Raw genomic sequence first — 15,387 nt, 5'->3', positions numbered from 1 at the left:
TTGCTCGCACACTCCCTCTTGCAAGGAGTGGCCAGCAGCAGGCTAAGGGTAACAGGCCACTCCACTTCCCGCCCATGAAGGGAGGTCAGGGGAACAATCCTGTCTCAATATGAAATCTAATTTCAATAGAGGATTAAGTAGCTACCAAAAAATGATAGATTAGATAGAGACATAGATACAGATAATATTGATAGATATAGATATAGATATAGATATAGATGTAGATATAGATATACTGCATCCATCTGGTGATAGATTTCTGTCTTCAGAGTTGGAAATAACAGGCGAGATGGGGGTACTAGATCACAGAGATCTCAATTGTTTAACTCCTCAGTTTGCACACCATGATAATGAGGGACAGAGGCTGTATTTTCCATAACATATTCAATGACTTTATTTTGCAAAATCTCATTTCTTATCATTGATCATTTTCCAACATCAGATGCTAACTTTTTCTCTTGGACCAAAAAAAAATATGTTATCATGTGTTCTTTTCATAAATGTTTCTTTATTTCAGTAAAAAAAAAAAAAAAACTATTAATTTCAATGATGAAAACAAGGTAACACATTAAATTACGGAATGCCATACAAAGGGGGTATTATTTGTCAGTTTTAATATTATATATGCGTTTCTAGGAGACAGAAATATTTCTGCTTCAGTTATGTTTATTTTACTGCACTGTTCCATACAAGAATACATTGCAGGGTTAACAGTTTTTAAAGTGACTCACAATTTTGTGCACATCTCTGCTATATTATTGCAATCTGCATTCTGTTTAAGTTTTAAATTTAAAAATAATTGCTTCTTATTAAAATCTCCCACATTGCATTATTGCTGGTCATGCAGAAAATTACTTTGCTGCAGGAAACAAAACTATCCAATATAATCTTTTCTCCTTATAGCAGAGGAGATAATTGGATTAATCACAAGTCAAAATCTTGGAAGTAGAGTACTTGGTTGGCTAAACTGAGCCATGCCTGTTGGCGATGATAGATGATAGAGATTCGATAACGCTAGATAATCGAGTGAAGCTAGTCACCATGATAATGATTATTTTTTAAAATACTGGAATTTGTTAATTATCCACCAAATATGAGGAGAAGCTGGACTTGCCCTTTGAGGGAACTAGTTGCCTTGTTAAGACATCATCATATATCCACGTCCACTTAGGCAACTTGCTCCTCTGCTTATCTAGAACTATTCTGTCAATGTTGAAAGCTTGTGATGAAGTAGAGGTCTCTCATATTGTGAATCTTAGCGATGATTACTGCAAATGTTAATTTTTTTGCTAAATTTTTCTTCTTTTTCTTCTATTAAGCCAATTCAAAGTGTGATATATTTCTTGAAACTGTCTTACAGCTCTTTAATGTTCTCTTTTGTTTTTGTTTTTTTTTTTTCATCTTTTTTTCTCTTCTCATTTCAGTTTGGAAATTTTCTATGGGCTTACCTACAGCTCACTCATTGTTTCTTCAGTCATGGAAGTTGATTAATAAACCCATCAATGGGCCTATTCTTTTTTCTCCCTTAGCATTTTCTTTTGTTTTTTTCTTAGTTTTTTTTTCTTTTTTCATTTCTCTGTTTATATTACACACCCCTATTTTTTTTTCTGTTAAGAGCCCTTAATATAGTAATCACAATTATTTTAATTTCTCTGAATGATGATCCTAACAGTTGTGTTGTACCTAGGTATGGTTCTGATTCTTGTTTTGTGAAGTAAAAGTAAAGGAGTGACTTGATGAAAAATTACAACTGCAAATGCTTATATTAAAAAAGAAGAAAAAAGAATTAAAAAATTAATGATTTCAGCTCCCACCAAAAGAAGCTAGGGAAAGAGGAGCTTGATTATTAAGTAAAAGTAAAAAATGGATAAATAAATAGAAAAGACATCTCTGAAGGAAAAAACAAACTAATGATAAAGTAAACAAACAAATGTTATTTTAAATAAATTATTAAAAACAATTTTTAAAACTAGATTGCTCAAACAAAAGCAATGAAAGAGTAGGTTGCACTATATTTGTAACACACAATGGCTAAGAGAATATTATCTTAACAACTTTATGCTACCAAGTCTGGAAACTTAAAGAAAAGTGGCAAATAGCTTGAAAAACACAAGTTATCCAAACTAGTTTAAAAAGTAACTGAAAAGCTAAGTAGTCCTATTTCTGGTAAAGATATATAACTGATGATTAAAATCCTTTATACAAAGAAAGAAAAAAAAATAAACAGCCTTATGTAAATGTACTGGTAAATTTTATTAAATATTTAATGAATGAAGCATATAACTCTTAGTTGATAAAGTACAGTAGGAAATGTTTACTTAATTATGATTACCATAATACCAAAATTAGAAATTCAAATAAATATTTAATGGATGAATCATATAAATCTTAGTTGATGAAATAGAGTAGGAAATGTTTTGAGGTGGGAAATTAAAGAAATAAGGAAAAATAAAATTAAAAAGAGAAAGAAATAAGCTTTCCTGTATTAGGCTGACTGGTCCCAGAGGCAGCAACAGGCACAGCCCAGACCCAGGAAAAGGCTTGGTAAACACTATCTAAGAAGCTAGGACACAAAGGAATGTGCTCTGGAGACTCTCCCAGCACTCCTTCAACACATGGAGACAAAAAACAAATTTTCCTTTGCTTTATGGTATTAGTTTATAGATTCTTGTTTTCTGTAACTGGTAACTTCAAGTATTCTGTTTTATCTAAGAAGTACAGTGAAGGTCATGAGAAGCCTGAGCAGGCCTGAACTACAGCTGTCTGGGCACCATAGTGAAGTTATGCGATAAACCAGTGCAAGACTCTTTAGAGCAAAACCTGGATAACAGACAAATGGGTTGCTTGGCAATGGTCATGTGTAATCCGGAGTTATGAACCTGTCACAATTTAATTAATTGTTCTGACTCTGTATCCTTGCTTTCGCGCCACTGTAACTGAAAGCCTGCTTCAAGGTAGTCCACCCCTTTGTGAAGTGTGTATGAAAGTCAAATGCTGTCTTTGTTCTGGACCCAGTCTTTGGATGTTGAGTTTGCTGGGTCTGACTGCACTCAATAAAGATATCCTCCTGTATACACCCCAAGGTCTCTTTCTGGTCCTCCTGATTCCACAATATTTCACTTATTTAATTATGATTACCATAATACCAAAATCAGAAAAATTAGAAAACACAGATGTAAAAATTGATACATACATAGATGCAAAATTGTAGAACCAGAAAAGCTTTAGCAAAATATTAGCTAATTGAAATAAGAAATACTGGTTTAATATTGGAACATCTATGGCTGTATTTCACCATTATACTAGAGATTCTAGCATGTGCATTAGAGCAAGGGAAAAATATGTAAATTAAGAGTAAAGCTGCAAAACACTATTTGCATTTGACATTATTGACTTTGTAGGAAATTATAAGGAATCTACAAAAAATGTTATTAATATTTAAAGAACATAGTGGGTTCAGGCCAGGTGCGGTGGCTCACGCCTGTAATCCTAGGACTTTGGGAGGCTGAGGCGGGCGGATCATGAGGTCAGGAGATCGAGACCATCCTGGCTAAAACGGTGAAACCCCGTCTCTCCTAAAAATACAAGAAAAAAAAAATTAGCCAGGTGTTGTGGCGGGCGCCTGTAGTCCCAGCTACTCGGGAAGCTGAGACAGGAGAATGGCGTGAACCTGAGAGGCGGATCTTGCAGTAAGCCGAGATCTCACCACTGCACTCCAGCCTGGGTGACAGAATGAGACTCCAAAAAAAAAAAAAAGAAAAAAAAAAAAAAGAATGTAGTGGGTTCATAGGAAACGTGGCCATCATACAAAAATCTGTCTTTCCATGTCCTACAATTACAATTAAAATACAGAGTAAATTACAATTTACAGTAGCATCCAATACAGAAAATACTTGGAGACACATTTAATGTAATATTTGTAAAAGCTCTAAACTGAAAACTGTGATACATATCTGAGAAAAGTGAAAGAAAACATGAGATGGAGTGATGTATCATATTCATTGACTGTAAGACTCATTGTAAGATGTCACAAATCTATAAATTAAATGAAGTTTGGATCAGAGTCCTGGGAGGCTTTTTTTGTAGATTGTCAAGCTGATTCTAAAATGTATGTAGACATTCAAAGAACCTAGGAGCGCCAAAATGCTTGCACAGGAAGAACAGATTTGAAGGTCTTTTGCCGTGTGACTGCAAGCCTTAGTATAAAGTTACAAGTAATGGGTGGTATTGCTGTGAGGGCAGACATAAAAATAAATGAAACAGCATAGAGATTCCAGAAATCGGGCCATGGATATTTGTTGAGCTGACTTTCAAAAAAGGTGTCAAGTCAATTCAATGGGGGAAAATAAAATCTTTTCAACAAATGTTGCTGGGACAAGTGGACATGGAAGAAAAGAAAAGTTTAAAGTCATGACACATACGACATTACTTAAATTAATTCAGAAAAATATCTGTGAATTAAGTGTTAAGCTGTAAAATGTCTAAAAATTATTTTTGTGAGTTTTGAATAGGCAAAGATTTCTTACACAATTATTACAAATGTGAAAAATAAAAGAAAAAAACAAATTGAACTTTGTCAAACTTGCATGGAAATTATACTTGTCGAAAGGTGATTTAAAAAATTAATCCAGTGATAGTACTGCAAATTATGATAGAAAAAGAAATACATAATGTGACTGAAAATACCCTAATAGAGAAATGATGAAGTTTCCCTGTGAGAATATCTGAAAGAAAACATAAACTGCAAAGACAATTACCCAGTTGAAAAAATAAAATAAAACAAGATTGGAGGCAGAAATTTAAAATAGCTTTTAAAAATGCATGAGATAAAAAATGTGGAACAAGGGTTTAGCCCTAGCAATAATTTTGAACTATATTTTTTAAAAACAAAGCAAAACAAAACTTGCATATCTGAATAATTTGTGTAACAGACCCATCAAGAAATGTTTCTTGTGGAAAAGCAAGGCGTGTTCTTGTTAAGAACTTTCCCTAAAGCAATACTTTGAACAAAGCAAACTTTCTCTACACAAAATGGGTGAGTTCTACAGCTGATGAATCATTTTTAGTTCAGCATTATGCTTATAACTCAAAATCTGTTACTATTCATGGCCCATGGACTCATGCGTGACTCTCTTAGAGGGGAAGCTACAAATTTTGATTAACAAAAATAACAGGAGAGTTTTGCCACAATTTCTCTGTAAGTTACTAAAGCACTATTAAACCTACTTGATAGAATGTGCAACGGACAAATGCACAAGTGAGGGAGGAAGCCAGTTCCTACTCTAGATTTCTTTTGGTGTACACTGAAACATGGTAATAGCATGGTTTCTAAGGATATGGTGGTGGTTGGCAATTGGCAGACATGGCAACTAGTTTATACTCTCAAATGGACATTCATTCTTTGAGCGTGTACAAAATCTTTTTTCCCAGCTTGTCTCTTTCTCTAGAATGCAGGGCCTTGTCTAAGTACAATAATGTGCCTCAAAGAGGCCTTGCTTCATAGCAAAGGCACAATCTCAGCAGGACCAGGGTATGTATCAAAATAGGACACATGTGCTATCTGGTATCATTCATGTAATTTTCAGGAGGTTTTACCTGACGGTATATATTAGGTTGCCATGCAAATTATTACCTCCAAACCTGATCAAGGCACCCATCATACAGTCAAATCATTGCCTTATATCAAACACTATCTGCTCATTTTTACAGAGTCCTTTTTCTATCAATGAATCTTCTCAAGTCCTAAGAGGAAACTCCTCCTCTGTTTCTTGCATCAGTAGATTGTTCAGCCTTTACCCAAGAAATCTAACTGTTCTCTACTTTTTTTTTGTCATTTCACTTACTATGACTGCAGACTTCTGAGTTCTGGTCATCTTGGAGTTTCTTCAAGTTTTTATGCCATCGGCAACACAATGGTGTGCTCTGTGTGTTCAATTCTAAGACTGCATATAGCCATTGGAATATACTTAGTGAGATCTGCTAGATTATAATACAGTCATAATTAGGTTCACATATTTGGGGAATAAGAAACATCTTCGACATCAACAGGGTACTGGTTAGTTCTGTACCAATGTAATTCTACATGGGTTGTCAGATCTAGGACAAATATAATTTATTGGCTGTTCTCTTCTTTTGACACCAGCCACTGGAGGTCATTCTCTACTTCTAGCCTCAGAAGCTTATGTTCTTTTTAAAAAAAAATCCAGAATCTGAATCCCATTGCTACAGAAACTGATTTGTCAATGCATTCTGAAACTGTGCAAAAGGGACAAAGGAAATACAAAATACAACTCTCACTCTATGTTCCTGTATTTCTTTTTTATTCCCCTCAGAACTGAATTTGCAGGATTTAATGGCTGGATGACAGTCCCATCCTAAGGCACTTAAAAATGCTCGTGACAATGCTGTTCATTCATTATGCGAATACAAAAACTGTGCAAAAAAAAGCCTGGAACTCAGCTCACGGATAATTGCTTCTTTATTTTCCTGAATGCTTCTTTGCTAGAATAGCCAAATTTAACATCCTGGTTTCTCTTTAGCTGGTTACAATCTAACTGTTCCCTGAACAGTGTCTTTCTAGCTGTACTCAGGAAATGTAGACTTTGCCACTTCAACTCCATTGGACTAGCACTGCCATGCAAGAATATTTTAATAATTTCTTTTGATTATTTTGATGCTTTCCTTATGAAACCAAATATTTTTTTTTATTATACTTTAAGTTCTAGGGTACATGTGCACAAAGTGCAAGTTTGGTACATAGGTATACATGTGCCATGTTGGTTTGCTGCACTCATTAACTCATCATTTACATTCGGTATTTCTCCTAATGCTATTCCTCCCCTTGCCCCCCATCCCCCAACAGGCCCTGAGTGTGATGTTCCCTGCCCTGTGTCCAAGTGTTCTCAGTGTTCAATTCCCACCTATGAGTGAGAACATGCAGTGTTTAAAACCAAATATTTCTATTAGAGGTCTATCACTTTCTGTAGAATTGATGAATCTTCATAGAAAATGTATTTTTAAAGCAAAATCTGTTAAGTCGGTTTTCCATTTTGGGTGTATATATATATTTAAAACATTCTTATTTACTTTCCCTATTTCGTTGATATTTTGCACATAATTATTTCCACCAGGATATTGAAAATTAAAATATAATACTTGACTCTTCTATTAATTTTACTCAATATAACATTTCGACAATTTTACATAAGTTATTGTGGGTTAGCTGTTCTAGATGTTATTCTGTCAAGGCTCATTGTCCCAGGTAAAAACATTTGCAGATTTATATTTTATAAAAATATTTTATTCTATCATCAATTTTGAAAAATAAAAACAATTCCAAATGCAATATTAAACCTTTTCATTTGTATTTATTCTTTGGATATGATAATCTCTGTTTTCTCAGATAACCAGAATGACAACTACATCATCTTCAAAACGTTGCCACATACCCACCACAATCTGCTGAGTTTTAAGAGTACTCTTTTCCTATACTGCTCAGTTGCATTTGTATCTTTTTTGACATTTTCAAGCCACATGTTTTTCAAGTAGTTTGTTACGATCATAGTTACTAATTATTATTGCATCTATATTTTAGTAATGGAGAATGCTATTTGTGATGACGTATTCCAGCAGTACTTTTCACTATGAATTCAGTAAGAAATTATTATTTCTTACATATTACGTAAGAACTATTTTATGTTTTTCTCATAAGATAGAATTTTTTAAACTCACTTATTTTGGTGCCCATTTAAGTCATCAGTATAGATGCGATTATTTTATATACTTTGTTTTAATGAGTCATACAACTACCAGCAGAAGAAAGATAAAATTGTTAGTGTCAAACATGATGACTAAATGTCCTTTGGGTGAAAATATGAATGTTAAAATATTAATTGTGATCTGAAGCCATAAAACTTTCTACTAACAATGGAGTTTGTCAATTTATGTGCTTTATTAGGAGTATTTTGAAGCAAAAGGTATGACTCAAAAGACATTTTATAGTTTTGGATTTGTTGAAGATGCTATCTTAAAAATCTTTTAAATTTATGTGAGAAAGCTATCCACTAGTTTTTATTTAAGAACTCTTCAAGACAAACATTAATTAACATGTTCGAGACTTGTTGAGAACATGATTGGAAAATGCTGTCTCTGAACCAAAGGGCCTTGTGGCATTGGCTCTGTGATAATCCTTCCTTCTACGAAAAATGGAATGAAACTTGTCACTCTTTTTTCTGATACAAGATGCTGCAAATATCTCTAGACAATTCAACCCTGGAGAGATAATTTGTACATGTTTCAATAAAGTAGAGTGAATGAAAATTTATTATTCTTGGTGACATTCTTACGATATATTTGTTCTGACCTGAATAATCATATTTGATACTTTGATGTTTTTATTTTTAATAGCAAAAAAATCTCAGTGACTTGAATAAGGAAAATGTATTATAATTATACAGCATCACTGTCCATAATGTCTGCCCCAGTGTAAGTGATTAAAAATAGAATACTTCTTTCCTTTGAAGCTGTCATCGTATTCTGCTTCACTGGGTCGGGGAGGCAGATGCCTTTTTATTGGGCACCTTAACTCAATTCTAAGGATATAAGATGTTTCTTATCTGCTAGTTCTAGTTTTTAAGGTTTTTTTTTTACCTAGACAATCCCTTATTACTCCAATCCTCTGTTAGAGTTAATTATTTTAAATACAAAATTCTGCCTGTGCAAACTATTTTATGGTTTTGCTCTGCTGATAGGACCTTTTTTGATAGAGTAGAACATCATAATTTATTGAAAGGAAGAACTACAATCAGTAACAATATGGGATAGCAGGTATTTGATACTGAGGTAAGTAGTCTCTAAATATGGCAGCCAACAATTCCTTCCATCCTGGTACACTCATGCCCTTCCTCAGGTAACAGATGAGTTTATTTATATTATCCTTTATTTTGGAAGAAATTATGTCCGGATTTGACAGACAAAATGTGACAGAAGAGTGCACTGTTATGGAACCCAGAAGACATGCCGTTTGGAAGCCAGGCTAGACTATTGAACAATTAAAGACTATATGGAGAGAGACAGAGAGTGAAAAACCATCTCCCAAACAGTCTTTCAATCTAGTGGAATTATGTCAAAGACTCCAAGTGAGACCAGCAGAACTTCAAAACTGACCCTGGGTAACTCAAAGAATCATAATTAATAGTAAGTTATTATACTGGATTGTTTTGTAAAACAGAAACAAATGATTCAAACAGTAACCTGGAAATCATAGGTAAACGTGGGTATTACTATTCTCAGAGACTTGAGTAGGCAGGAACGAGACAACCAGCCTTCTCACAGACCAGACCCTCACCCTTCTTTCTTTCTTCTTCAAGAAATATCTGTCTTAGGCAGGAAATGTGTAAAAGTTTATGTAAACACCCAGAATCCTACAATAATTTCTGTTACTCACCTGGTACACCAATAATTAGTTAAAATATATTGCCGGTTTCCTGTAGGCATGGCAGGTGGCATGCTAATCTGCTGGTTATAAAATTAAACAAGATACACAGATAAACTGAATAGGGTTGAATTAGGGGCTTTGGAAGACCTCAGTAAGGATGCTCCCACAATGGCAATACAGCTCATTAAGAGATTAAGTGCCCAAGGCTGGTTATAATGAGTAGTGAAACAGCAAGAACATAATGTCCCAATTTGTAAATGTAATAGTGCTGTGCCTATGGAAAACCTTTACTATTTTAGAAGGTTAATGAAAGAAATCCCTATGCTATATCCATCACCTTGATTCGCTTATTAAATGCCCAAGATGATTCACATCTCACTGAAATTGAAATAGATTTGTTTTCTTAAATACACCTTCCTGGCACCTTTTAAAGAAGGCAAAGCTAAAGCTGAGAAAGTTCACAGGAATTGGGTAATGAAGAATTTGCTCAGCTAGCGTGACAGTCACATAGTCTAGATGGAGACAAGTGTCTGCTCAGGAGTCATTAGTTTAGGAACTCCAGGCATCAGGTCTTGATTGGCACATGTGATCACTTCTGCTTACAACAGCAGCTATAGTGGAGTAGCCTGCATGCACCACAACAGCCACACTGGCGATTAGTTCTCCTAAAGCAAGACGCCAAAGGGAAGAAAATAAAAGAGGTTGCTATGTATTTAATTGTGTCCCTAAGAACAAGATATGTTCTAGTCATAACCCTAAGTACCTCAAAATGTGAACATATTGGAAATAAGATCTTTGCAGATGCAATGAGTTAAATTAGAATGAGGTCATGTTGAAGTAGGCTAGTGTCCTAATCCTAGAAGCCTGGTGTCTTTAAAGAAGGCAGAGACACAGGCTCTGTGAAGACTGAGGATTGGAGTGATGACTCTACAAACTGTGGAATGTCAAATAGTGCCAGCCAACTACCAGAAGCCAGGTAGAGCCAGGAAAAGATTCCCTTATGTTTCAATGTGAGCATGGCCCTGCAGATACTTTGATTTTGGACCTCTAGTATCCTGAACTGCTAGACAATAAAATTTTTTTTAAGCCACCTAGTTTGTAGTACTTGGTTACAGCAGCCCTAGGGAACTTAATACAAAGGTCAATCTCTGCCTGTACAACATAAACAAGAATAATTACAATCCCCAGGCCCCCAATCCACACACACACACACACACACACACACACACACACACACTCCCTACAGAACAAGAACAGTAGCAACAACAACAAAAATGAAATGTACCTTCTTTTGATTTATCCTCATGTCTACTCCTCGAGAACAATCACATAAAAATATTTTCACAGAAGCTGTAACTCTATGTCCAAGTCCAAATGACCCTAAGAAACATTAATATACCAAAAATTGAGGAGCTTTTGAAAGTAGTGATTATATAAGTAATAAAGAATCTTGAGGAGAAAGAAGTTGAAGCTACAGAATTTTATCAAGTGTCCAGGTTAGAAATAAAGAACTAAGGCAATGAAGCTGTCCCCATTCCTTCAACTCCTACTGATAATTTGTTGTTTATAATTCTAGGGAAAGGATTCTTAAAAGGACAAAAAGAAGCAGTTCAGGAACTTCATTATAAATCATAATCATGAAATTATAATGCAATATTTTAAGGAAGACATATAATGTTTTAATTCTAATATGGAAATCACAGGGGTAGGTTATATACAATGCCAATAATCATCCCAATTATGGTCTCAGTTTGGCTGGTACAAAAGTCAGATGGGTTCTGGCAACTATTTGTAGAATATAAATAGAATTATTTATAAATTTTAAAAAAGGTTGCAGCAATTAGATGAAAACTGTGACCACATTTCTACATTGAAAGATGATTTTTAATTTCTGATTGGTATGCAGCCATTGATTTGGCTTATGTGATCTTACGAGTCACTGCTAATGCTGGATATCAAGAGCAATTTGTTTTTCTCTTTTATGGCCAGAAGTTTGATTTAGTGTTTTCCGAGCCACCTGGATATTTAAATTATCTGGCATGATATCATAATCCACTAAGATGAGCTTTAAACAGATGGCCTCAACCTAACTCAAATGCTAAAGTTGCTCATTACATTGGTGCCGTATTAACAGCAGTAATTGTGAAAAAATTGTGTGATGCTCTGTCTTTATTGATTTTATTGCAAAAAAGGGTGTGTTATTACATAGAAAATCATATACATGGCTTCCCAGACAGTATAGTCCCAGTTATCAGGGACAAATATACTCAAGACTAGACAGAAACTATTATCCTTGAGCCCCCTAAATACCAAAACTAATACTTAGAAAGAAACTTTCTAATATATTTTTAGGAGCAGCATTTATCACATCTAGTATGATCATGCCTCTTAATATGGTTGCTTTAAAATTTTTTAAAAAAATTTTTAGATATTATCTCATTCTATCACCGAGGCTGGTCTGAAGTGGTGCAATCATGGCTCACTGAAGCCACAACCTCCTAGACTTAAGCGATCCTCCCACCTCAGCCTCCTGAGTAGCTGGGACTAAAGGCACATGCCACCATACCCAGCTAATTATTTAAATTTTTTATAGAGCTGGCATCTTCCTATGTTGCCCAGGCTAGTCTTGAACTCCTGGGAACAAGCGATCCTCTCGTCTCGGCCTCCCAAAGAGCTGGGATTACAGGCCTTTTTATAAGATTAATAAAATGTGTCAAAATCATTTCAGTTATGAGCTATGTGGGGTCTTAAGATAACAAGATGCCTCCCAACTTTTGTGTTCACTTACTCATGTATTCAACAAGTATAAGCACTTACTTAATGCAAGTGCTGATCTAGAAAACAGGATCATAATAATGAAAAATTAAAAAGATATTCTCAAGGAGGTTATATTCCAGTTGAAGACAGACAATACATTTTAAAAATACATATGTAAATGCATTACATATCACAGGATAATGAACACCAAAGATAAAAATAAAGCAAGAGACAGAATTAGGATGTAATAAGAAAGATACATTGCTTACTAATAGAGAATTGTCAGGAATGGGTGCACTTACAAGTGGTATTTAAGTAGAGATACCACAGTGGCCAGAAAGGCTACAATGGAATGGAATGAATGGGGTGGCCAGAAAATGAAAACTTCAATATGAATAGATGTGGAACACGCAGGATAGGACAAAGCGTGGATCCACAACTTGCCATTACTTCCCTTGATATTGGCTAGTCTCCCAGTACAGCACTGGCAGGGATCATTATTGCTACCTCTTGATATCCTAGGAACTTTGTAGTCATCCTCAGAAATGTTGCCAAGCTCATGGATTGCTTTGCTAATATTGCTTCCCAGATCTTTGCAAATGACGAATCAGCCTTGTAGGGGCACAAAGAATTGAAAATCATTTTCATAGCATGTATACGCATCCTAAAGTGTTAAAATTATTGAAACATATCCCTAGTCAGGAGCCAATGGATTGTACTATATTGTTCTGGTCATTGGCCTTTCAAAAACTGGAATTATCTATCTAAATCTCTGTGAACAGCTCCTTCTAGGCTCACTTGGCTGACATGTGTGACGAAGTTGAAACCCTTGGTTCCTATGTAGATTTTGTGGGTGAAATTTCATATTAAATCAACACTTGATGCTCTGACAAAGCCAAAAGCTTTTTATGAACAGTCAGATCCACAGATACAGTCCAAAGAATGCATAAGTGGGTTGCCCATGGATGAAGAACTGCTATTCAGTATCTATAAAACCCAATTTAGAAGTTTCTGCATGTATCAAAAAAACAGTTTCAAGGTACCAAAGATGGCAACAGAACTGATTGTCTTCTATGGGTCTATAGTTGGTTTAGTGCCTGGGACCCATGTCTTTATAGGGGCATTTTAGGAAAGGTATTAATATTACATAAATATATACAATAATCTGGTTGATTTTCCTATTTATAATTTAGATATTTATTTTCAGACAGGTTGCTGCTACTTCTCAAAGTATAAATAAGCATGTGAGGTGTTGCATAAACATTAAATACCTTAATTTCACCATGCCATAATATACACATATGTCAAGACGTCATGTCACACATCATAAATATATACAATTTTTGCTGGTAAATTAAAACTATTTTAAATCAACTGTATGGTTTTATTCATGTTTGTGGCTATTTCTCTTAGACCTAATAAGGCTTTTAGCAAACATTTGTTGAATGCATGGCTAGAACAAAAACATAATTAATGATCGCATTCATTTTCTACTTTTTCTTTATGTAGTACATTGCTTTGTTTTATTTTCCTGTGACTTCCCTTCGTATCTCTTGGCAGAGAAACCTCAAAACTTTGTCTCCAGTAATCATTGTCCTGAAGTCCAATACTATATTTCTAATAGCCCATTTGACAAATATAATACATTTCTCTATGAAATGCAGAAAGCAATTGCAACAAAATCAAAAATTGACAAATGGGATCTGATTGAAGAGGTTATGAATAGCAAAAGAAACAATCAACAGAGCCAACTTACGGAATGGGGGAAAATTTTTGCAAACTATGCATCTAACAAAGGTCTAATATCCAGTATCTATAAGGAACTTAAAGAAATTTACAAGAAAAGACAAACAACTCCATTAAAAAGTAGACAAAGGACATGAACAGATAATTTTCAAAAGAAGACACGCATGAAGCCAACAGTCATATGAAAAAAAAAGCTCAAGATCACTAATCATTAGAGAAATGCAAATCTCACAGCAGTCAGAATGGCTATTATTAAAAAGTCAAAAAATAACAGATCCTGTCGATGTTGTGGAGAAAAAGGAATGCTTATACACTTTTGGTGGGAGTGTAACTTAGGTCAACCATTGTGGAAGACACTGTGGCAATTCCTCAGAGACCTAAAGGCAGAAATACCATTCGACCCAGCAATCCCATTACTAGGTATGTACCCAAAGGAATATAAATTGTTCCATTATAAAGACACATGCACTTGTATGTTCATTGCAGCCCTATTCACAATAGCAAAGACACAGAATCAACATAATACCCATCAGTGATCAGTAGATAAAGTAAATGGGATACACATAAACCATGAAATACTATCCAGTCATAAAAAAATAATGAGATCACATCATAAATTGTTCCATTATAAAGACACATGCACTTGTATGTTCATTGCAGCCCTATTCACAATAGCAAAGACACGGAATCAACATAATGTCCATCAGTGATCAGTAGATAAAGAAAATGGGATACACATAAACCATGAAATATTATCCAGTCATAAAAAAATAATGAGATCACATCCTTTGCAGGGACATGGATGGAGCTGGAGGCCATTATCCTTAGCAAACTAATGTAGGAAGAGAAAACCAAATACTGCATGTTCTCACTTACAAGTGGGAGCTAAATAATGAAAACCCAAGGATACATAGAGGGTAACAACACATGCTGGGGTCTGTTGGAAAGTGAAGGGTGGGAGGAGGGAGAGAGTCAGGAAAAATAACTAATGGGTACTAGGTTTAATATCTGGGTGATGAAATAATCTGTACAACAAACCCCCATTACACAAGTTTACCTATATAACAAACCTGCACATGTAACCCTGAACTTAAAGGTTAAAAAAATACATAAAATGTACCGATGAATGCTAAAAAATAAAATAAAATAAATTCTAAATCCATATATCTTAAAATGAAAACTTGAATGACAAATTAAAATAATTATTTAAAATATTTTGTCACACTTTCCTCAGTATAAGTTTGTGTAAATTCAAAATGTGCATTCTGTTTTTGAAAAAAATCTCATATAGTACATTGTTTTCCTTATTGCTTAAAACACGTTTGTAGGAGGAATATAATGATATTATAAACCACTTAACTTTCATTTATTGGGATAATTAACATTTCAAAATAATTAGTTTTAGATGTGGTTTATGGGAAATATGCTTTCGAAGAATGGCCTGAAAC

At 34.6% G+C, this 15,387-nt stretch overlaps 1 long non-coding RNA gene and 1 pseudogene across 2 annotated transcripts in view; both read right to left on the bottom strand.

The window, feature by feature from the left end:
- GUSBP1 (GUSB pseudogene 1) overlaps positions 1 to 15,387 on the bottom strand; it is a 129,860-nt pseudogene that overhangs the window by 31,849 nt on the left and 82,624 nt on the right. The gene's annotated exons all lie outside the window — the stretch shown is intronic.
- LOC124900949 (uncharacterized) lies at positions 370 to 12,805 on the bottom strand. The gene is made up of 2 exons (XR_007058709.1): positions 12,701 to 12,805; positions 370 to 10,816 (listed from the first exon to the last, which is right to left on the bottom strand). It is a non-coding gene; the product is annotated as an uncharacterized LOC124900949 (long non-coding RNA).

This window comes from Homo sapiens, chromosome 5 (assembly GCF_000001405.40).
Source record: "Homo sapiens chromosome 5, GRCh38.p14 Primary Assembly".
Lineage (NCBI taxonomy): Eukaryota > Metazoa > Chordata > Mammalia > Primates > Hominidae > Homo > Homo sapiens.
The sequence above is the reverse complement of the archived record's forward strand: the minus strand, read 5'-3'. Positions and strand labels throughout refer to the sequence as shown.